General features: G+C 41.6%; 1 long non-coding RNA gene and 1 pseudogene across 1 annotated transcript in view, besides 1 other annotated feature; one reads left to right on the forward strand and one right to left on the reverse strand.

The window, feature by feature from the left end:
- The window catches only part of MIR3681HG (MIR3681 host gene), a 571,233-nt gene that overhangs the window by 397,624 nt on the left and 148,591 nt on the right, over positions 1-25,018 (forward strand). The window lies entirely within an intron of this gene.
- On the reverse strand, positions 6,659-6,762 carry RNU6-843P (RNA, U6 small nuclear 843, pseudogene; annotated as a pseudogene).
- Positions 8,127-8,176: an enhancer, noted in NCBI's record as "active region_15338". NCBI's record gives its function as "activates an Ori minimal core promoter by ATAC-STARR-seq in GM12878 lymphoblastoid cells {active_cell/tissue: GM12878}" and the evidence as "EXISTENCE:reporter gene assay evidence [ECO:0000049][PMID:35858748]".

A 25,018-nucleotide genomic window follows, 5' to 3' on the forward strand; every position in this document is an offset into this window, starting at 1 on the left:
TTCTTTAATGGTTTGAGCAAGAGTTGGTTTTCAATCTCTCTCTTCTTCTCACTCTCTCCTTACCCCCTCACTTTACCTTCTCTTCCTTCCTGTTTTTCTTCCTCACTCCCTACATCCTTCACTCCACCCAGACACACACACACACACACACATACACACAGTGGAATTCCTCAGCTTTTATATAAATTGGCTCTCTTTTTAAGCATTTGGGGAGTATTTCCCATCATTTAAACTTATTTCACAGCTTTCGTTACCACTCGACCTTTGCCCCAACACCTGATGTCAGTTTAAAATGAGTTCCCAACTGGAGGCAGATGAGGCTGGGTGGGAAGGATGGAAAAGCCAAGTGGGCCTGGTATGGCTTGGTTAGAGGCAGGGCTGCTCTGATGCTCAGCTCAGTTCTAGTATGAGATGGATTTTCTGTTTGAGAGAACCATTGCTGCTGTAACATAGGCAGAAATGAGAGAGAGAGAGAGAGAGAGAGAGAGATACTGAGACTTGGGGTAGTATCTTTGGAGACAAACACATCTGATTCAAATCCTGGATCTGGCCCTTATTTACTCTCAGTGGTGAGTTTTTAACCCCTCTTTCATTTTTCTTACCTTTAAAATGAGATTATAGATACATATACACACATACTCATACATATATGCGTGTTTATGTATGTATGTATGTATGTATATGAAGACTTTACCAGAATTGAATGAAATATAAAATTCCACAGTATGATGCCTGCCACATAGTGTCTCATATATTTTAATAGCTATTACTTATTTTTATGAGCTAATTCGTCCCCACCCCAAAATTCATATGATGAAGTCCTCAGCCCCGATATGACTGTATTTGGAGATAGGGGCTTTAAGGAGGTAATTAAGGTGGTCATAAGGGTGGGGGGCCCTATTCTGATAGGATTGATGTCTTTATAAGAAGAGGCAGAGACACCAGAGGTGTCTCTTTTTCTCTCTGTGTATGCACAGGACAAAGACCATGTGAGGACACAGTGAGAAGGCAGCCATCTGCAAGCCAGGAAGAGGCCCTCACCAGAAACCAAATATGTTGGCGACTTAATCATAGATTTTTAGCCTCCACCACTGTGAGATAATAAATGCCTTTTGTTTAGGGCTCCCAGTCTCTGGTGTTTTGTTATTCAGCATGAGCTGACTAAAATACTTATTAAGTGTCACCTCTTTTTTTTACCTCAAGCACCTCAGAGTGACTCCTATGGGACAAAGGACAGAAAGCCTCATCATGAAATGAGTGGGGAAGGGTCTGGATTTTAGAGGATGAGGCGCTCACTACTCAGAACATTCACCCATGAAGTCCCTCTCACCCTTGCTGGTCCCAGAGACCCTTAGCTCTAGCTTTGTCTAACTCTTCACAGTTTTGAGGTGATGCACAAAAACAGATGCACACAGAAGAGGTAAACCTCTGTGTTCATCATTCTTGCATTGCTATAACGAAATACCTGAGACTGGGTAATTTATAAAGAAACGAGGTTTAATTGGCTCACAGTTCCACAGGCTGTACAGGAAGCATTGTGCTGGCATTTGCTTGGCTTCTGGGGAGACCTTGGGAAACTTACAATCACGGTAGAAGGCAAAGGGGAAGTCCACACATCACATGGCTGGAGCAGGAGCAAGAGAGAGAGAATGGGAGGTGTATTAGTCAGGATTCTCTAGAAGGACAGAACTAATAGGATAGATGTATATATAAGGGGGAGTTTATTAATTAGTATTGACACACATGATCACAAGGTGAAGTTCCACAATAGGCCATCTGCAAACTGAGGAGCAAGGAAGCCAGTCCAAGTCCCCAAACCTCAAAACTAGGAGAGCTAATAGTGCAGCCTTCAGTCTGTGGTCAAAGGTCCAAGAGTCCCAAAGCTGAAGAACTTGAAGTTTGATGTTCAAGGGCAGGAAGCATCCATCACAGAAGAAAGATGAAGGTAAAAAGACTCAGTCAGTCTAGGTCTTCCACGTTCCTCTGTCTGCTTTTATCTTAGCTGAGCTAGCAGCTGACTAGATGGTGACCACCAGATTGAGGGTGGGTCTGCCTCTCCCAGTCCACTGACTCACATGTTAATCTCCTTTGGCAACACCCTCACAGACACACCTAGGAACAATACTTTGCATCCTTCAATCCAATCAAGTTGACACTCAATGTTAACCATCATGGGAGGTGCTGCACAGTTTTAAACAACCAGATATCAGGATAACTCACTCACTATCATGAGGACAGTACCAAGGGAGATGGTGCTAGACCATTTATGAAAAATCACCTCCCACCAAGCCTCACCTCCAACATTGGAGGTTACAATTTGACATGATATTTGGGCAGGAACACGGATGCAAACCATATCATCTCTCGTCTCCAACTTACATGAAAACCATTTTTTTTTCCAGATTAGGTGTGCTCCAGATTACCTGAAGAATTTCAAAGTGTGTCCATGGTTTCCCAAGGCAGAGGCGTATGTTTTTACATAGAGGGCTTCAGTGAGTCTATAATAACAGAAAGACTGAGGAGACAGGATTTTTTTTTAAGGTTAAATGAATTAATACTGTGGAAGCCAATGGTGGCAGTGTGTAAGGAAGACAGAACTGTGCAAAGTCAGTAATCAAACATGATTAAATCATGCTGCTGCAGACAACTGTTCCCCAGAGTTAGAAAACCAAGCTAAAAATATGACTTCGTAACATTCTGCACCTCCGGTGCACTCATTGCACAGTCTATAGCTGCAGATAAAATTCTACCACGACAAACTTAAGGGTGGTAAAAACGACACCCCCTGCCATTTCATGTTGTGCAGTTGCAGGTTAAGGCTTAGCATAGACCAGAACAAAAAAGAGCCATATGCAGATTCTTCATACACGGAGTCCCTTCTTTGCCCCTCTCTCACATAGATCATAAGGGGAAATGAAAATAGCCTGGTATATAAGATTAACTTCTCTGGGTCCAATTTTTAAAATCTGCCAATGTATAAGCTAGCCTATTGCTCCTCAGAACTTAGCTTTCTCTTCTGTTAAGTCAAACTGATAATATATATCTCTCATGCATTAGGATTAAGTGAAAATATTACCTATGAAGTCTGTAGAAAACTTCCTCTCACATGAAATCTGCTCGGAAATGGTCTGGTTTCTTCCTTGTCTCATGACATTACTGTATTTGTTCAACATTCAGGGAGAGAGCAGAATGCAAATGCATAGGTCTTGAAGTCAGAAGATTGCTTGACAAAATGACCATAGGAAAGACTTCAAGCCTTTCTGGGTTTAGAGTTCTTCATCTGTACAATGGAAATGATGTTCCCTATGCTTTTTCGGCTTGTATTTCATTTAAGTTTAAATGGGAGAGCTGGAAAATGTTCATACTATAAAGCAGTATACCAATGGTTGGTAAGGAAAGGGCTTTCAGTTGGGAGCATGCTACATCTCAGAATCATCTCTACATTAATAGCATAAAATTCAAATCCTCTAATATGAAAGATGAGAAGTTCTAGGAGAGAATCGGGTATGGTAGCAGGCATGTATTTTTACTGAAAATAGTTACTTTCCCAGGTAATACTGAAATTTCCTTCTCAGTGAGAACTATCTCAGTGAACAAAGATATATTTGTGAAATATAAACAACGGTGCTATCACTAATTTCAAGTCTTCTGCATATATTATTTGGTAAATTATAAAGTAGAAGTTATTGTCCCTATATTTAAGATAAAAATATTTTTAAAGCTATGCAACTATTTTAAGAGAAGATGAATTGATATCATGGAACTTGAATTCAGAACCAGGCTTGTCTCACTGGACCCATCCTAACTCTGTGTCCCTTAGAGCATCTTATAGTCCATTAACTGATCTCAAAGGCCAAAGGCTCAGGGTGGAGGCTCAAGTTTTACTCCACAGACAATATAGACCTATTTCTTTGATCATAACGTTATGAGTAACAGAGCAATAATGAAATATTAAAGGAAACTTAAGGAGATCAGGGCATAACCTAAAACTTGTGAGATCAGTGTCTAAAAACTGCCCTAGAAACACATCAGTAGTATTCTGTAGGATTGTATATGGGTGGGAGATGCATTATATAAATTACATAAATCATGAAATATAACTTAAAATTAATTATTTACCAATTTAAATACCACTCTTAGTAAGCAATAGAAAAATTAAAATCAAAGATAAACTATAAGAATCATCTCATGGAGAAACTCACAAATGAATACTCTGGAAAGTCATCACAGATGGCCATAAAGAATTCTACCCCTCCTTGGACATACATCTTACTGTTCTTATCAAGGGTGGAGTCAGTTTCCTCTTTTCTCGAGTCTTGACTGGCTGATGACTTGTTGTAACTAATATAAAAATGGCAGAAATGACCATGTGGTCTTCCAGGCTTAGCCTTTTAGAGTTATGGAAGATGGTTCTTTTGCCTTCTTGACAACCAGCTGTCTTGCAAAGAAAATCCAAGCCATCCTGCAGAAGAGAGGTTACGTGAAGAAAGCTGTGAGGATGAGAAACCATAAGGGGAGAGGGTTCACATGGACAATAGAGATGCCCTAGCTGACAGTTAGCCCCAAAGCCCCAGACAGCTGAGAGAAACCAGCCACCAAATGAATGCAAAACCACTTGAATGGCCATAGCAGATGCCACTGTGTGCTATGTTGTAAATGTTTGTGTTTCCCTCAAAATTCATATATTAAAACCTAATCCCTAACATGATCGTATAAAGATGTGAGGTCTTTGGAAGGTGATTAGGCCAAATGAGATTCATGCTGTTATAAAATAAGTCTCTGAGCTGTCTTGCCCCTTTCACCATGTGAGGACACAGTATGAAGGCGCCATCTGTGAAGCAGAGGGGGAGCCCTCACTAGACACCAAATCTACTGGTACTATGATCTTGGACTTCCCAGCCTCTAGTGTTCTAAGAAATAAATTTCTGGTATTATAAGTTACCCAGTTTAAAATGTTTTGTTATAGCAGCCTGAAAAGATCAAGACACTGTATGGAACACAAGAGCCACATAATCAATCTACACCATGATCAGAAAAAGTAAATTATTGCTGTTTTAAACTATGGAGTTTTGGGGTAGTTTGTTATATAGAAAAAGTGACTAAAGTTAAACCTGCAATCAAGGTGTCACTGTTGTGCTGTGAGGTGGGATAAGCTAGCATGCGTGTGTACGTGTCTGGCTGATGGGAGGCAGATGTCTGCAGACTTTCCCTGATGCCGTTCTATAGAGTCTCCTGGTACCGTTGATGAATACATAACTGATCTGTTCCACAAATGGCTACAATTTGTTTATGATGTGTCTTGAGAATGTTCTGATTAGCCTTGTCTCTGATGTTTGCAAAAGTTGTAAATGAAAGCTAACTGTAGTTCACTCCATAGGGTTTCTGATTAAAGTTATACAGGAATCAGCTCCCTCAAAGTCCATCACATGTTTAGATCCCATTGAATTCTATGCTTATCCCCTAGATCAAAATTACTGCATAGACACTTGGAGGAAATGCTTCACTCATTCCTTAACAAAACTGATGTGAGGCAATCAAGCCACTGAAGGGAACACAGAGCAGGTCATGCAAGAGGATTCAATTCTATATGAAATATTGGGCTGAGGAATAAATGAAATTTCAAACCCAGACTCAATGGTCTACCCTTAGTGTCACCTTCTATGTGGAGAGGAGAGTACCAAGAAAACATGTAGAATTAGCTTCCCTACTTCAGACTTCTCAAGTAAACCAGTTGCGTGTATTATTAATAATTTTCTTTTATATTTTTTTAATTTCTTCTAAAAAAATGGAATACATGTGCAGAATGTGCAGGTTTGTTACATAGGTATACGTGTGCCATGGTGGTTTGCTGGACCTATTGACCCAGGCTCTAAGTTCCTTCTCCTCACCTCCAACCCCCAACAGGCCCTGGTATGTGTTGTTCCCCTCTCTGTGTCCATGTATTCTCATTGTTCAACTCCCAATTATGAGTGAGAACATGCAGTGTTTGGTTTTCTATTCCTGTATTAGTTTGCTGAGGATGATGGCTTCCAGCTTCATCTGTGTCCCTGCAAAGTACATGATCTCATTCCTTTCTATGGCTGCATAGATTTCCACGGTGTATATGTACCACATTTTCTTTATCCAGTCTATCATTGACCGGCATTTGGGTTGAGTCCATGTCTTTGCTATTGTAAATAGTGCTGCAATAAACATATGTGTGCATGTATCTTTAGAGTAGAATGATTTATATTTCTTTGGGTATATACGCAGTAATAGGACTGCTAGGTCAAATGGTATTTCTGATTCTAGATCCTTGAGGAATCGCCACACTGTCTTCCGGAATGATTGAACTAATTTACATTCCCACCAACAGCGTGTGAAAGTGTTCCTATTTCTCCACAGCCTCACTAGCGTCTATTGTTTCCTGACTTTTTAATAATCGCCATTCTGACTGGCATGAGATGGTGTCACATTGTGGTTTTGATTTGCATTTCTCTGATGATCAATGATGTTGAGCTTTTTCTCATGTTTGTTGGGCACGTAAATGTCTTCTTTTGAGAAGTGTTTGTTCATATCCTTTGCCCACTTTTTGTTGGGGTTGTTTGCTTTTTCCTGTAAAATTGTTTGTCTTGTAAATTCTGGATATTGGACCTTTGTCAGATGGGTAGATTGCAAAAAACATATGGAGTACTTCACGAATTTGTGTGTCATCCTTGCACAGGGGCCAAGCTAATCTCTGTATCATTCCAATTTTAGTGTATGTGCTGCCAAAGTGAGCACTTATTAATAATTTTCTATTGCTGTGTAACAAATTTCCATAAACTTAGTGCCTTGAAACAATGTAAGTTTGTTATCTCCTAGTTTCCATGTGTCCAAAGCCAGTAAAGCTTAGCTAGGCCTATGATCAGGATCTCCTAAAGCTGGAATCAAGTGACTATCTGAGCTGCATTTCTTCTAGAGCTTAGAGTCTTTTTGTCCAAGTTCATATAGTTGGAAGAATTCAGTTCCTTGTGGCTGTAGGACTGAGGTTCTTGCTTCTTGGTGGCTGTCAGACAGGGCTGTTGTCAACAAGTACAGGCCACCCAGAGTTCCCAGACACCTGACCCTCTTGCAGGCCTTCTCATAACGTAGTAACTCATGTACTCAAGGCCAGGAAGAGAATCTCTCATTTCAGCTTGCTATGATGGAGTCTTATGTGACATATCATGATCATGGGAGTGGCTATCCTCAATTTGTCATATTTTATTGGTTAGAAGTAATCACAGTTTCCACCTGCACTCAGGAACCAGAAATTATGAAAGGGCATGACTTATTGGAGGTCATCTCAGAATTCTACCTACCATAATGTGTTAGGAGAGGTTGCTCCCACATTATTTTCAGATAAATACTGCAATCACAACACCAGAAGTGTGCAAAATAGCTCTCACATTCTTCTTTTTTTTTTTTTTTTGAGACTTGATCTCACCCTATTGCCCAGTCTGAGTGCAGTGGAATGATCATAGTTCACTGCAGCTTTGACCTCAGGGGTTCAAGTGATCCTTCCACCTTAGCCTCCTGAGTAGCTGGGACTACAGGCACATGCCACCATGCCCTGATAATTTTTTTTTAATGTAGAGACAGAGTCTTTTTATGTTACCCAGGCTGGTATTGAGCTCCTGTAGTCAAGTGATCCTCCCACCTCAGCCTCCCAAAATGCTTGGATTATAGGCATGAGCCACCCGCACCTGGCCTCAGGTCATTCTTGACCCCTTTATGAGAAGGCATACTCAAGGCCATTGTTGAACTAAAGGATGAAGACTAAGTTCAGTGGTAGAAAGGTGTGAGGAAGCACAAAGATTCTGCTGTAAAAATGCAAATTCAAAGGACCAGGGGCATTGGAATGAAAATTGCTACATGAAAATCTGAAGGACTTGAGTGCAGCTGAAAGAAATGTGTCTTCCTCCTTAATTGTTTTAAATATTGAGGCATCCATTGAAAAGTTTTCAGTAATTTTTTTTTCTGGGTCTTCTTAAATTAGGAAAAGTAGCTGTATGAAGATGGATCTCAATAGTGAAAGAGTATGCATTGTGATGGCTCCTGTCAACAAGAATTTTCCAGTGAAGATTGTATTTACTTGTGCAGAGGCACATTTTAACTGGGCACCCACATTATGCTAGGCAATTTCATGTAAAGAATCATATTTAATCCTCACTGTGAGATGATGCTATTTTCACTTTCAGTTACAGAAAACAAGGCCCAGAGAAACAAACAATGTCCTCCATCTGGATTGTGCCTGCTGTAGGAACAGGAAGTAGGCTCTGCTCATGTCTGGGTATCCACTGCTTTCAGATCACAGACAATCAGTCACTGCTCCTCACACAGCTGCTAAGTGGTGTGATCAGGACTGAAACCCCAGTGCCTCTGACTTCAAAGCCTATGCTGCTCCACTGCACCACAGCATCCATTTCATCAAAGTCAGGAATTCCCCTGTTTTATCTTGAATCTCTATCAGCTGGCCCTGGGTGGTCGTTGTTCATGTTACTCATCATCTGTGTTATCAGTAGGAATGCTTCCGGTATTACAGAAAGGGGACCATGCGTCAGAAAATGGTTACAAAGTGGCAAAAACTGACCTGACTGGGGATGTAGTCAAAGGGCAGGAACGGAGGGTGGGACAGGTCAAGGAGGTGACCAGAAAGGCACTCACCAGGGGAGCAAAATATAAAGAGGCACCAAAACACTCAGCGGTCCTGATAAATAATATTTTAGTGCAATATTTTAAAAATCAGAATTTTTGTAAAAATATCCAATGGTGAAGAAAATATCAACATTGTAAGTAAAGATGGGATCGCACCCTGCCCTTGCCAAACTCACTCACTCACTTCATCGTCGTTACCTTACAGCCCTGAGAGGAGGCAGAAGCCATAAAGAATGAGACCAGAGGAAAAAACCTCTCCTACTCCCATTTCTCCAGGTTTCTAGGAACAGGAATGAGGGAGAAGCAAGGGAATTCTTATCTGCAGAGGTCAGATTTCAGAGAAGTGACCATGATCTCTAGGAAAAGCATAGAAGCTTACCCATGGAAAGATCAGGAATCAGGAGACCTGTGTTCTGGTCTGGGCACCAGCACTAACTCACTGTGTGATTTGGGGCTAGCCCTTTTCTTTGGGCCTCAATGTACTCATTTTTAAAATGGGAGCTTTGAATTGAGTGCTTTCTGGGGTCCTTTCCAACTCAGACATTCTACAAGGCTATGGACTAGCAGATTCCAGGGAGAATACTCTGTCCTTTACTCTATGTGGAAGTGCAGAATTCCAGAGAAAACTTCAGTGGGTCAAATATGGACATCTTCTGTCTATTAGCTTTCCTTGCCTCTTTTCTCTTTCGTTTAGTGGTCAGTGGGCCACAAGAAGAGGCTAGTGGTCAGTTTCCACTGGTCCCTAGAAGTCAGGTCCCATGGAAGTTTGAAGTACTTAGCTTCTTGTAACTCTAGAACATCAGAGCTGACAGTACAACATTGGCCAGCTACGTCATAAGTCAGTTTGTACTAAAGATAATAACTACTGCAATTAGCTGGGTATGGTGGCACATACCTCTAGTCTTAGCTACTTGAGAGGCTGAGGTGAGAGGATTACCCGATCCTGGGAGGTCAAGGCTGCAGGGAGCCATGATCTTGCCACTGCACTACAGCCGGGGTGATAGAGTGAGACCCTGTGTCAAAAAAATCAATCAAACAGACACACAAAGATAATAGCTGCTGTGTATGGATATGTAATTATGTAATAATAGCTGAGAGGCTGTATATAATAATGGTCTACTCCTGCACACAGCTGCTGGTATAGTGTTCTGTTTCTGCCTCTTCCCAGATGCATTGGTCAGGGGGCCGCCAAGATGCAGAGCCCACAGACTATTTCAATCATCAGAGAGAATTTAATAGGAATTATTGTTAAAGAGGTATAAAGTTGTTAATTAGGTAACTGAAAGTGTAAGAAGAAATCTCAAAGGTATCACAGAGGTAGCAACTGCAGGACACATGACAGCCCCTACGACTGAGGGAACAAAATGAGTGTGAGTTGGTTAAATCTTTGAACCTTAGTAGAGGGCCCCTTGGAACAAAAACAGAGACCTCTGAGAAGACGGCTGGCCGGCTGGTGTTGCTTTGGGGGCATACGATTGAGCTTGTCCTGCAAGTGGTGAAAAAAACTGTAAAGTGGGTTCAGCTACTGCAGCTGGAAAAAATTGCTCCTGGCAGGGAGAACAAGCATTAATGGGGGAATAGCACATGCATGGAAAGTGAGGCAAGCAACAAACAGAAAGGGCCACGTCCCTCCAGCCTTGTAGAGCATAATGGGAATCCAGTTGGCAAGGCAAAAATGTGCTTTTCTGAACCTCGTCCCCAGCTCCACAAAGCAGCGTACAGAAGGGTGGGTTTAGAGCTGAGAGTCCATAACTTAATAACTGGCACACTAGCTACTTGACCTTAAGCAAATCACCTGACCTTTCTGTGCATGCATTTACTCATCTGTGAAAAACGAATACTAATGAACTCTTCTGAATAGGGTTGTTATCAAGGTTAAATTAGTTAATATACAGAAGTGCTTAGAACAGTTTCTTCAGTGCCCAATAAGCTAGTAGGCACTTATGTTAAAATAAGTGCCCAATAACATTTACCTGTGTGTTAATTTTAATGTGTCAACTTGACTGGGCTAAGAACTGCCCAGATAGCTGGGCAGGTAAAACATTACTGCTGGGTGTGTCTGTGAGGGTATTTCCAGAAGAGGTCAGCATTTGAATCAGTAGACTGAGTGAAGAAGACCCACTCTCACCAGTGTAGGTTGGTACCAGCTAACGTGTTGAGGACCTTAACAAAACAAAAAGGCAGAAGAAAGGTCAGTTCACTGTGTGTGAGTTGGGACAGTCATCTCTTCCCATCCTCAGACTTTGGCACTTCTGGTTCTCGGCCTTCTTATCTGAACTAAATTACATCACCATCTTTCTTGGTTCTCCAGCTTGCAGATGGCAGATGGTGGGACTTCTTGGCCTTCATAATTGTGTGAACCAATTCCCATTATAAATATGACATGTCTGTGTGTATACATACATATATATAGACACATATATATAATGAATGTGTGTATTCATACGTATATACACATACACACACACATATATGTGTGTGTATGTGTGTGTGTATATATGTGTGTGTGTGTATGTATATGTATATATACACACATACATATGTGCCTTCTATTGGTTCTGTTTCTCTGGATAACCCTGAATTATGCAATCTGGTATTATTATACAAAGGAAAGAGGAAAGAGCAAATATGTCTGCCTTGCCCAAGGCATTAGATTCACATTTTCCTTACATTTTGTGGCTTAATTTCCAGAGTACTTCTCAGAAGTGAATGTCAACTTCCTGATGTTTATACTCAAGGAGAATGAGGTTTGGAGATCTGAGTAGTTTACTGAAGGCACTCACATTGAAAGATTTTATGAAGCTGAAATTCAAATCTAGATGTGCCCCATCCAAAGACCACCCTCTTTATACAGCAACATGCTGCTTCCCCTGGATCAAGAAACACAAGGTAATTATCATCTTATTGTACCACTCACTCATGAAGAGTTAAGCTAGACTTTACTGTCCTTAAGCCTCAGATAATTCACCTGTAAAATTAGAATAAAACACTTGTTTGGAACACTTGATCCAACGTTATAAAAATAGCATGATCGATCTCAATGGCAAGTCCAGCAAGATAAAATAGTAAGGGGAGAACACAAAGTCCTCTACGGTAAGGTCTGCTCTAACACAACATATGTGTTTCTATAAATTACAGCACTGCGGGAAAGTATGCCAGAAAAAACACAAGACTTATGGAAAAAATGGGGTTACAACACTAAAAAACTTGATCAATGACACACAATCACAAAGAAAGTCATCTAATAAAAACAGTAGTGGAGTTGTGCGCGTGTTAAATGGTTAAGATATACTTAGATACCAGAATAAACATGGCATTTTCCTTGCAGAAGACCTGGAGTTTGCTTGTGGAAGTGGGTGCCAGCAGGGGGCAGCTTGGGAGTCCCTGTGAAGTGGAGACTGGGGTTGATCAGAAATCAGAGAGAAAGTTCTAAAACCAGATGTGAATGGGTGTGGCTCATAACACACCCAGTGATCTGCGGTAGCCGGTAGAGGCATGGAGGTGTGTGTGTGTTTTGCATATTCCTAGGAACCCCGGGGTCAGCCGTATGCAGTTTCTAGCAGATGAAATAATTCATTGCAAAGATATATTTACATTGTGCTCAAACTGTTTCCTAATATACTGATTACACCGAAAGAAGTGCAGAGTTTCAAAACAAATGTTACAGCAAAACTGACTGTTTTTGGGTCCAAAAACTTAGCCAGAAAAATACACAATGAAAGAGACATGAGTTAACAGCCATGTGGGTTAGGACGTCCTCTGTGTTGGCAATTGGCAGAGTGTGGAACCAGTGTACTGGGTTAATGAAAACCGAGATTGCACTGAGAACATATATCGTATGACAACAGCAGCAATAATAATAATAAAGAAATTTACAGACAGGGATCTGGGTGAAGATTATGCTAATTAATTAAACACACAGTTAGAGAGAATCTCTTCTGTCCTAGGCAGAGCCGGCACCTTCTCCGGAGGAGAGCCTGATCTGCCGACATGACTGACCATAGAAAACATTGGCTGTATCTTAGGGATTATGGATGCCATTACCTCCACTGTGAGGAAGGTGCTATGGGGATTAGCTATGACAATTCTCCTGGACACTTCCTAGAGCAGGTCAGGGGCTGGACTGAGACCAGGGTTTAAGGCAGTTAGATCCTGACCGAAAGTATTTTCCACTGGACAATGCTGCTACTTCCCTATGTCTTCTGATGGGAGAATCTGTATCTTCATTGCTCTGGTAACTCAGTAAGTCGTCAATGCTAAGTTCTCTTTAAGTGACTAACTAGGCCAGACTCACTTGGGCAGAGTGACATTAATTAGTCACAGCATGGTCGGTGTATAGATACTTTGGACTAGAACCAACATCTGTCGAAATAATGATGTTAAAACTAAGCGTTTGTTCTGCAGAGGTTCTGCCCTCCCTCCTGCCCCTCCCCCATAGATGCATTCCCTCCATCTTTGTACGTGCAGGGCCTCATTCTTCATATCACAATGTCGGGTAATTGTTGTAGGTTCAACTGCCTGTCTCCCTCCCTAACCGAGAGTTCCCAGGGAGCAGAGACTGGGCTTTATTCATTTCAGCACCACAGGGATCTAGCGTGGGGTTTACACATAAAAGATGCTTATGATGTCAGCTCCATGAGAACAGAGACCATGTGCTCATGTCAGCCCTTGGTGTCTAAGCCAGTGTCTGGCATCAAGCAGACGTGCAGCAAATATTTGTTGGCTGAAAGCATGATCCTTAATGAAAGGTCATTTCCATTACATCAGTTAATTAAATAAAAATATATCTGTTCAAAATTATGTGGTCAATGAAAAAAAAGTCCAAGGGCTCTTTAATGATGTGGGAAAATGTTCAGAGTATAATGCTGAGTTAAAAACAAAAAACAAAACAGGCCAAACATTGTGTGGCTCACTGCTGTGATCCCAGCACTTTGGGAGGCTGAGGTGGGCAGATCACCTGAGATCAGGAGTTTGAGGCCACCCTGGCCAACATGGTGAAGCCCCGTCTCTAACTAACTAAAAATACAAAAAAAAAAAAAAAAAATTGCCAGGCATGGTGGTGTGCACCTGTAGTCCCAGCTACCTAGGAGGCTGAGACAGGAGAATCACTTGAACCTGGGAGGCGGAGGTTGCAGCGATCCGAGATTGCACCATTACACTCCAGCCTGGGCAACAACAGGGAACCTCCATCTCAAACAAACAAACAACAATAGCAACAACAAAAATAACAGGCTGAAAATATGTAGATTCAGAATGATACTCATCATGTTAAAGAAATGCCCTCTGGTTTACATGGTTGTCTCTGGGTTCTGAGATTTGGGGTGACATTTACTCTCATCATTGTACCTTTAGGTCACTTTACAGATTATTTAAAATAAGCCTGCATTACTTTAAAAATGGGGAAGAAAATGTTTTAAGAGCAAATAATTTCATCAGGTGCTTTAGTTGGTATGTTTGTTCAGTGTAATTTAAGGGATAGGATGACTTCTGGGAAGGGAACATTTCACAAAATTGTTTTCTTTGCCTTCAGAAGGCCAAATTTTCTATCAGTTTGATGATTCTGGTAATTCGCACATTAACTGGTGGCCTCCTTAGCGGGTGGTGCCCTGAGGAAGAGCATCTTTATTTCTGGGTTTCTATCACAGAGGCAAGAAGGAATCCAGGAACAGAAGGGCCTTCCAGCCTTGTTTTATATTGCTTTATTTATTTTAATTGTGTGACTTTGCTCTAAACTGTGCTGGGGGGTGGTATAAAATTAAAATACACTCACATTGACTAAATCATTGACTGGCAATAATTTCCAGAGATTTGTTTGTTTCTGTTTTTTTTTTAAACTCTGAATTCTATGTTCTATGGAAAGCATTAGTTTCATACCTTTATTTTCATTTCATTATAATGTATGCCATTTTAAAATAGAAAAGAAAAAGAAAACCATCTCTATGAATATAAATCCTATTCCTAATAATAGATATAATCACTCAACATAATAGACCAGAGGTCAGCATAATACTCACCACAGGCCAAATCTGGCCCATAGCCTGCCTTTATATGACCTATTAGCTAAGGCTAGACTATTAGCCAAGACTGTTTTTTCATGGTTTTAAATGACTGAAAACAAATTTTTTAAAAAATAAGGTTTCATGACGTGGGAATTACATGAAATTCAAATTTCAGTGTTGATAAATAAAGTTTTATTGGAACACAGCCATGCCCATTTGTTTGCATATTGTCATACAGCTGGCTTTTGCTCTGCAACAGCAGAGTGGAGTAGTTTCTGTAGACACCAAATGGTTTGCAAGCCTGGAATATGTACTTCCTGGCCCTTTGTAGAAACAATTTGCGAACTCCTGTAATAGGCCTAGGTCAGTATTACAAGGAAAGTTGGAATAACTTCAACCTATATAAAGGCGAAGCTAGATCAGACTGAGAAACAGTCAGAATTCTGAACTAGAAGAAATTGGGAAGGCATACCACTGAGTCCCATTGTGACATGGTTCAGGCCTTCATCCTCTCATCTGGAATGACCCCAGCAGCCTGGGAACCTGTTCCAGCCTCTCATCTTGACACATGTACTGTATGCCTACAGTCCAATCCACCGCTTCCTGCCACCCTCACACAACTGTGGCAAGGTTATCTTTGTAAAGGGAAACTGTGGTTGTGTTACTTTCCTGCTTACAGTCTCCAGGGCCAATGGATAGTTTATGGTAGTGGTCCTAGCTCTGTGCTTTGAGGAGTTCTGGATTCCTTGGAGGAATGTGTAAGGTACAGAGATGGTGTGGGAGGGTTCGTTGAGTAAGCAGGTTGTGGATCTTTCTCTCTGTGCCCCCATTTCAACCAGAAAAGCTCTATTTCTGCTTTATTTGTGTATTATATTTAATTTGAAGAATGGATTCTGTTGTTTAACAAAATAGCTGGAAAGCCACTAGTGGGTCAAGTTGAAGCCTCTTGTCCTGTTCCTGTGTGATCTAGTGTGATAGACACAGTGCTAACCAAACTTTGTTGTTCCCTGTCATTTCCGAGTCTCCCTTGCAGGGAATGGCGTTATTGCCAACGAACGTTGAGTAGAAGTGACTCCCATCACTTCTGGGCTGAGAGAGCTGAGAACCAGTATACTGCCTCCATTTCTCCTTTACCTTGGTAACCTTGCAGGCTACTTGTCAGGATGTTGTATCTAAGAGTTGGCAGATCATGCAACAGCCCGGGTCCCTGAATGGCCATGTAGAACATGATCTCTACCCTGACCTATTTTAGACAGTACAATTAAATAAACAAGCAGACTTTTGTAGTAGAAAATCCCTGGAATTTGGGGTTTATTTATTACTAAAGAATAGCTTTGCATCTGGCCCTTGTTTATCTGTCATTTATTACTTGGTTGGCTGATGTGTTAGGTGGTTGGTTGCTTAATTAATTTAACAACAACAACACACATATATGAAGAGTCTAGTATGTATTATGCTAAGTAGTGAGAATATAAATATCTATCAGCTGTAGCTGCCAACCTCAAGGAGTTTATAGCTGAGTGACTTTCTTTCCATTGCTCACTACGTAAGCACTATCCTGCACAGACCCTGCATCTCCATCATTCTAAACTGTGTATCCCTGAACTCACCCAAACAATTCATTCATCCGTCCCTTTGCCTAAACTGTTTCTACTGTCTATGGACTGAGAAATCTCAGAATCTGAATAACTAATAGCACAACGTGGCTAAAACACACTCTAATAGTTCCTGTTGGTAACAGACCTGTTAAATCATTATGAAAGAAAGAAAACACAGAGCCCAGCAGAGTCAACTTAGCCTAAATCAATTCAATCAGTGTGTCACATGACCCAAGGAAGAGTGAAAACTGCCATCACTCATTCTGATGCCTTCATTTTATGGTGCAAAACATCCAGATGCTAAGAAACACATCTGGAGCTTTTCTGTTTGCGATGATGGGAATGTTCTACATCTGCTCTGTCAAACCTGCCAGCAACTAGCCACATGTGACTATCGAACAATTAAAATGAGGCTAATGTGACTGAGAAACTAAATTTCTAACTTTTAATTCACTTTTAATTCGTTTCCATTTAAACAGCCACGTGTGACTAGTTGCTACCTTATTGACCAATGTAGCTCTACTAGATATTTAGATCTGTTTCTTTATTTCTTTATTTATTTTTATTTTTTGAGATGGAGTTTTGCCATTGTCGCCCAGGCTGGAGTGCAATGGTGCCATCTCGGCTTACCGCAATCTCCGCCTCCCGGGTTCAAGCGATTCTCCTGCCTCAGCCTCCCGAGTAGCTGGGATTGCAGGCATGTGCTACCACGCCCAGCTAACTTTGTATTTTTAGTAGAGACAAGGTTTCTCCATGTTGGTCAGGCTGGTCTCGAACTCCCGACCTCAGGTGATCCACCCGCCTCGGCCTCCCAAAGTGCTAGGATTACAGGTGTGAGACACCGCGCCTGGCTGATCTGTTTATTTAATTCTTTTTGTTACCATAGCCTAAATATAATAAGTTTAAAAGATACAACCATAAGCACATTTTCAAATAACACAAAAGAGGTTATCACCAGCTAAATTCTAAAACTGAATTTTCTCTACCAATACTTTTCCTTTCAACTTCTTTTGGTGCTTCACTCAATTAAAACAGCTCTGGGTTATAACCCAGGACCCTAGACCAAAATTCAAGGTGGACAGACTCAAGTGGTCCCCTCTGTCTCTAAGACCTCTGGTATCAGGGTGTTTCTCAAAACAACAGAGCAATAAATTCAGTAGTAATATTGGAAGTATTCAAATAAGCATTTTCAAAATATTTGTGCATCCTTTTAATAAAAGAAAATATATTTTTTTTATTATACTTTAAGTTTTAGGTTACATGTGCACAACGTGCAGGTTAGTTATATATGTATACATGTGCCATGTTGGTGTGCTGCACCCATTAACTCGTCATTTAACATTAGGTATATCTCCTAACGCTATCCCTCCCCACTCCCCCCACCCCACAACAGGCCCCGGTGTGTGATGTTCCCCTTCCTGTGTCCATATGTTCTCATTGTTCAATTCCCGCCTATGAGTGAGAACATGCGGTATTTGGTTTTTTGTCCTTGCAATAGTTTGCTGAGAATGATGGTTTCCAGCTTCATCCACGTCCCTACAAAGGACATGAACTCATCATTTTTTTACGGCTGCGTAGTATTCCATGCTGCATATGTGCCACATTTTCTTAATCGAGTCTATCATTGTTGGACAATAAAAGAAAATATTAAAAGCTCAATATATGGCAGGCACTATTATTCTAGGTATTTGGGATACATCAGTGAACAAATCAGAAAAAGATCCCTGACTTTCTGGAAACTACCTTTTAGTAGTCCACACAATACATATAATAAATAGGTGAATTGCATGGTATATTAGAAATAGTATTTAGAAAGAAATAGCGCAGGATAAGAAAGGGATAAACAGTGATATTTTAGCAAAGACTGACTGAAAAGATGAAAGAGTCATCAGTGAATCTGAGGGAGAAGGATTCTAGCCATAACTTCTATTTCTCTGAAAAGCGTCATACTTCAAGGCCTCACAGAAGGGCAGGCATTGGCCTGGCCAGTGTCCTGGGTGTGTCTGAACCATAGATCAGAGCATGTGTACTTGGAGGGTGTGGGCAGGAGGCAGGTGCATTAGTGAACTGAGCAGGAGGTGATCTTGGAAGTCTGGGTCCTTCTGGGCTGATGGCACTTTTATATTAAATAACTTCACCCTTTCCCCATGCGTCTCTTAGCAAAGAAGCATGGGATGTAAAGAAATGATACAGATAGGAGACAGGGAACTACTGGGTAGAAGACCGTGGTTCCCCGGCAAAGGCCCCACCCTCAAGACTAAAGACCCGCAGCCCTAAATGAGGACAGGCATTCCTGTTTTCACACCCAAAAGCTGCCTTTTGGCCAGCCATGCCTCCTATCCTGCACCCATATAAACCCCAAACCCCAGACTCCAGAAGCAGACCAGCAGGCCAACAGACCCGCAGATGAACAGTGGAATGACGGAAAGACGCAGCAGAGAAAGAGAGGAGGAACATCTGAAATGCCAAGAGGAGTTTGGCTGGGGGCAGTTAGAGAGGAATCCAGCCACTGGGTGGCTGACTCCAGGGGAAGATCACCTTCCCACTCCATCCCCACCTTCCAGCTCCCCATCCATCTTGCAGGAAAGCCACCTCCACCACTTAATAAAACCTCACATTCATCCTTCAAACCCTTGTGTGACCCAATTTTTCCAGGATGCTGGACAAGAGCTTGGGATACAGAAAGCTGTCACGCTGGCTTTCTGCCTTTGCATAAAAGCAGAGTCCATTGAGCTAGTTAACACTCAAGCCATCTGTGGACAACAAGGCTAAAAGAGCTTTGTAACACTGGGGTTGCGGCACCCATCCCTAGACACTACTCTGGAGCTGGAGCCCAAAGTGCTCGCCCCAGCCTCTGCATCTGCCCATCTGTGTGCTCCCCCTCCTGCAAGGAGCTTGAGCAGCAGGGTGACCAAACAGGTGAGCCACACCCCTGTTGCGTGTCCTGCCAGGGGGATTGGGGAACTCTTCGATTTCAGAAAAATACATACACCATCTTCTTGGTTACCAGGACTTCAGGCTTCTAGATGGCTTCTCACCTTCAAGGACATGGGGAGCTTTCTAGATATCACTTCCCTTATATTATAGATCACGAAATGATTTCACTGAATGATTTCTAAATGCACCTTCTACCTCTAATAACCTCTAACTCTTAGAAAGGTTGAAAACACACCCAGTGTGTTAGTTTGCTAGGGCTTCCATAACAAAATACCACAAATTGGGTGGATGAAACAACAGAAATTTATTTTCTCACAGTTCTGGAAGCCAGAGGTCCAAGATCAAGGTGTTAGCAGAGTTTGTTCCCTTGGGGGGCCGTGAGGGAGAATCTGTTCCAGGCCTCTCCCTTAGCCTCTGGGGGTTTTCTGGGAATCTTGGTCATTTTTTGGCTTACAGACTCATCACCCCAGTCCCTGTCTTTATCTTCACATGGTGTTCTCCCTGTGTGCATTCTGGGTCCAAGTTTTCCTTTTCTTGTAAGGACACCAGTCATATTAGATTACGGGTCCAGCCTGTGCCAGGATGACTTCATCTTTACTAACTAATTACATATGCAATCACCCTATTTCCAAATAACTTCACATTCTGAGGTCCTAGAGCTTGGGACTTCAACATATGACTTTTAGGGGGACACAATTTGACCCATAACAAAAAGATAAGACCAATAAATGGAAAGTCTGCTCCAGAGTACACCTGTCCCTCTTCTTTATAATGCAGGAAGAGTTTGCCCCAAAACATGTTACTCTACACCATTGGGTGGTCATCCCAGGAATGCCTTATTTAACGGCTTCAGAAATCATGTTGACATGAAAGACACTAATATTATAATGATTTTTAAAGTGAAAAAGAAAAAAAAATTTGGATCTTTTTTCTTCTAGAAATGGATGTCTATTTTCAAAATATTGCATTGGCAGCTTCAGCAGAAGCAATCTATCGCCTGAGAAGGAGGAGCTGAGCCAACATGCGCATGCAGATATCAATACAAGTCTGGAGTTATACATAAGCAGAGGGAGTTCTGACAGGGAGCCGGGCAGCCTGCCACACAAGGAGCTCTCTTACAAAAGGCAGTGTTTCTTTTCCCTTACAAATGGCTAAAGGGTTGTGCTTGATATGCCTAGAAGCTGGGGCAAAAGAAATCTCTGGTCTATTCTGTGAGTAACATGCCATTGGGACAGACCCAACTAGAAAAATAACAATTCTCTTAGTTTTCAGAATTGATCAATCTAGTGTGGTCTTACCCTAAAATAGGGAAGGTTACATTTTTAATTCTCTTTTATAGATTCATCAAGATTCAGAAGGCATAAGTGACGTATTTAAGGTAACACAGATTTTAAATGGCAGAAATCAGCAGTTCAGAAGAATTGCAAAGTTCATATTCTTTGCATTGACTGAGCTGCTTTCAGCTTTGAAAATGGTTAGTTTGACATCTAAAAACTAGAAATAAAGCTTAAGATGAATATATTTCTAATTATGAAGGACCAAACAAAATAACTCACAAACTTCCTAAAGACACGGAAAACAAAAATCTCCACCTGTATACAATTATGATTATAGGTTCAAGAATAGCAAAGTGTTTTGACTATTTACTAAGTGTTTTCACACTGAAGATCTCATTTGATCCTACGTTTATGGGATGGTTACCTGTTGTACAATGAGGAAACCAAGGCCCATGTAGTAAATGGTGAAATTAACACGCCACTGCAAGGATGTGGCTAAGCAGAACCCAAGCCTATATTATTTAAAGCAAAGCCAAATATTGATTCAATTAATCTACCGTTATTTTTATTTATTTATTTTTTTTACCATTTATTTGCCTTGATCCTGGATTTTTAATAGGGCCTGCAGACCTTCAAAAAGAGCTTATAACAACCCACCATGACCCTTGGCATTGCTGGCTGATCCTCTAGGGCCTACCCTCCTTATCCTGGCTTTCAGCTTCCACCCCTCACACCAGCTGCAGGTTCTTCTTGTTTATGCCATTAGGGGTGTGTGTGTGTGTGTGTGTGTGTGTGTGTGTGTGTGTGTGTGTGTGTGTGTGTTTGGTAGGTGGGGCTCTTATTTGGCTTAGCTTCCTTGGTCCATGTTTCTTCAATTCCTTAGCTGTGATTAAGAGACACCTCTCTCCCCATCTTACTCCTGAGCAACCCACAGTAAGTGCTATCTGGCTGCCTCCCACTCCCCTCAACCCTCGGCCCCCCTGCTTGTGAATGGATGGCAGGCTGTGGGTGGGGGGAGGCGGGTTAAGGCAGTGGTGTGTCTTTGTAGCAGAGGGACCCTCCTCGTCAGTCTCTGCATGGACAATGCCTCTGCTGAGTAGCCAGACTCTTAGTTCAAAGAGCTGATAGACACAATTCAAACGAAAAAGGTGGGTCCCTTCTAAGGTCGTCCTTGACTTAGACTTGTACAAAATACCTGCAAATCTGGGCTTCTCTTGCTTCCTTGACTTTGTGGACACTTGGAGGGCGGAGACCACCCTCTTGTTCATCTTTGAATGTTTAGCATGTTCCACTAAAACACATTTTGGGTTTTTTCAAAACAAATGAGTGAATGGATCTGTAACTGACTATGTGGACCTTGTGATTGCCTGCTGAATGGGTGCTATAAGAAATCTTTGGAAGAAGAAAGCAAAGTGAAGTGTGGCAAGATGGTGTAGGGCACAGGGTAATGTATGAGGTGGCAAGAGAACAGGGTTGTCCTCTGAGGTCTGGAAGGCCTGTGGGATAAATCCATCCTAGAATTTGCTGGCAAAAGTAAAAAACTTCTCTCTCAATAAACTGTTTTTACTTTTTTCTTTATCAAAACAATGTAACATATTGAATCTATCATATTTCTTGTGGAGTTTGGCCCTATAGCATATGGCATTAAAATTAAGATAAAAAATTAGTCTGTTTTAGAATACAGGGACGAGGAGAGAATTTAACTTCCCAGTACCCCTGAGGGGTTCTTGGCCTCTGTATGCATTATAAGGTTTGCATTATAATATATTTATATTTGATTTTAGCTAAACTTTTTTGGAATAGAGTTAATAATTTTGAATAACTTTCTGCCTGTGAATGCTAATTCAATTTCTAAACAAGAAAATCATTTTAATTCAACTATTTCAATGGCAAATACATCTGAATGCTTTCTGGATGATTTCTGAAAAATCTGTAAATTAGTTGGTGACTATTTCATTGATTTGAGTACTTTTCCACTAGGATCTTCAACTCACAAGCTCAGTCTAGAAGGCCATCCCCTCCAACTCTATCTCATGCCTTGATTTAAACCCCTCTGATGCCAGGACAGGCACTGCCTCCTGGGGCCTCCAGTTCATAAATATTGACAGGGTATACCTTAGATTGAGCCATTCTTTATCTATCTCTAGGTTATTGGCCCACATTTGGGGTTAATGCTTAGCATCATGAAGAATGTGCTTTTCTCTGGACTGTGTGAGCACCCTTAGAGGTCTATCTCGGTCTGCTACAATTGGGTTTGGCATATGGAGAATTATCACCCTGATAGGAGATGATTTTGAATTCTTTTTACATTCCAATTTTTTCCCCTAAATGTGTTCCAATTAGTCTGTGTTGTTGGGCACCGCAATTACTGTTTATTTTTATTCTATGTTTTTCCAAGTTAACTAATTATAAATTCATAGTGTCTCTGGGCTAGGTTGATAGTGGGAAAAATGTATTGCAGAATCTCTCAATTGTGGCTGCTTGAGCTCCAACCACACACAAAAAGAGAGTCTATCAATTGTATGGGAGAAAAGATTTAGGCTCAAAAAAGAAAGGTCACTTTTTCAAGACCACCCCGCATGTTAGGAGCTGTGCCCCTGACAGAACATGGGCATTTGCCTCCTCTGTCCCATGCTCTTCCAGCCATGTCTTCCCCACTACCCCTGCCAGGGCCTCAGTGAAGCTTTCTCCATCATGCTTCAAAAATCAGTGTCTGTCTGTGTACTAGGTCATCTGTTCATTCGCATTTTTATTCACATGTATATCCAATACTTAATGGGCACTGGATGCTGAATGGGCATGTTTACCTGCTATCTGACTTAGCCCTGACAACAGTACTACCAATTCAGCATTTCAGCTCCACTTTACTAATGAGGAAACTGGAGAATGGGGAGAAAAAAATGGCATTTCTCAAATCACACAGTTCGTAAATGGTAAACCTATAATTCAAACTCAGGTCTGCTTTCTGCTCGAAAGGGTGCCGTTCAATGCCAGATATCATGGCTCCACTTCTCAAAGGAAGCACAACTTCTAAACAGGTGGGCCCCTCTTTTGCTCTTCTCCTGCATGTACACTGGGTAGATTCAAAGGTGTCCCTCATTTTTTCCATCTTCCATGAGGGATGTCCTAATCACCCCCTTTCCACAGGATCATTCTCTCTTCCATCCTGGCCTGCAGGGAGCAATTTGCACACCCTCCCCAGTGACTTCCCCATCCTCCAGCCCCATCCTGGTGAGGCCCTGGAGTTCTCACATTCCTTCCCACTGGGCCTCACATGCTCCCCTTCCTGCAGCTCTTTCCAGGCACCCCCGCCCTCACAGATGTTTACATGTTCAGGCTCCTTTCTGCCACAGGGTAGCCTTGGCCTCTTTCAGGAGATTGCTCCATATAATTGTTTCTAGCGCACAGCTGGGGACAGGCCCAGCCTTTCTCCCAACCTTCCCCCTCGCCCCCCGACGGCTTCTGAGAGCTGGATGTACCAAGAAGCCCACTGGCTGGCTCAGACCCACCCTCATGACTGAGCCAGTCCTGACCCAGTTCGAAAATATATCAGGCCCATGATAGCACTCAATTCTAACTTTCCATGTGATTTAGACAAATCACCAGACTTCTCTGTGTGCTTCCTTATACTTCAAGTACCAATTCCAATACTTGCTTTATAGCAGAGGGAGGCAGTGAGCATCAAAATAGGTTTTAAAAACAACAGTGATAACAACAGCAGCAAAACATTAGGCACAGGCACATTGTTTTTACTGATGAACTATGGGCTGCCTGTCACACATTGGCAATGGGGAGCTGAATGCTAACCAACCATCCCTGCCCCCAAGGAGTTCATAGCCTCAGGAAAAAAGAATAACAAAAACCAGCCACGTGAACAATGAGCTCTGCAAAAAGTCTATATGTTTATAATACTTGCAACTAAAAGTCATTTCATTCCACAGCCTCTTTTGAATTTATTTTTATAACAACCCTGCTGGGTACATGCTATGAATATTCCTCTTCCAACAGAGGAAACTAAGTCCTAGCAAAATGGAATCATGAATAAGAGCAGAGTCAGGATTTGAACGGAGGGGATTTTGCTGTTGCTTTTTGTTTGTTTTTGTTTTGTTTTGTTCCTAAAGCCTTTCATTGCTTTTGATCACTTTTCAGCCCAGAGTCACAGATGGCTGTGCTTTTCCATCCGGGCCACTTAATCTGATGGTAATGCACCATTTCTAAGAAGAGTTCTCTACTATTTCCCATGATATTTCCTTCCAAGTTGTTGACACCATTCTGCAGATTTTGATGCTGGTGGTAAATTCTCTAATGAAGACTATTTGCTTCATTGATGTCAAATTACTGCCTTACTGCTCTTATTTTTTGCCTTTTTGTGCACACAAATAGATTTTTGTTTTAATATGGAATCATAAAATCATCTCTTCAAATATATTTTAAACGCAGTTAAACTCAGTATGTGTAATACTAATCATATAACCTAATGAACTAAAGTGGTGATAATGTGTACAACTCTGAGCCCACATGTGACCCCAGTAGCAACTACATCGCAATT

Source organism: Homo sapiens, chromosome 2 (assembly GCF_000001405.40).
Source record: "Homo sapiens chromosome 2, GRCh38.p14 Primary Assembly".
In the NCBI taxonomy this organism is placed as follows: domain Eukaryota; kingdom Metazoa; phylum Chordata; class Mammalia; order Primates; family Hominidae; genus Homo; species Homo sapiens.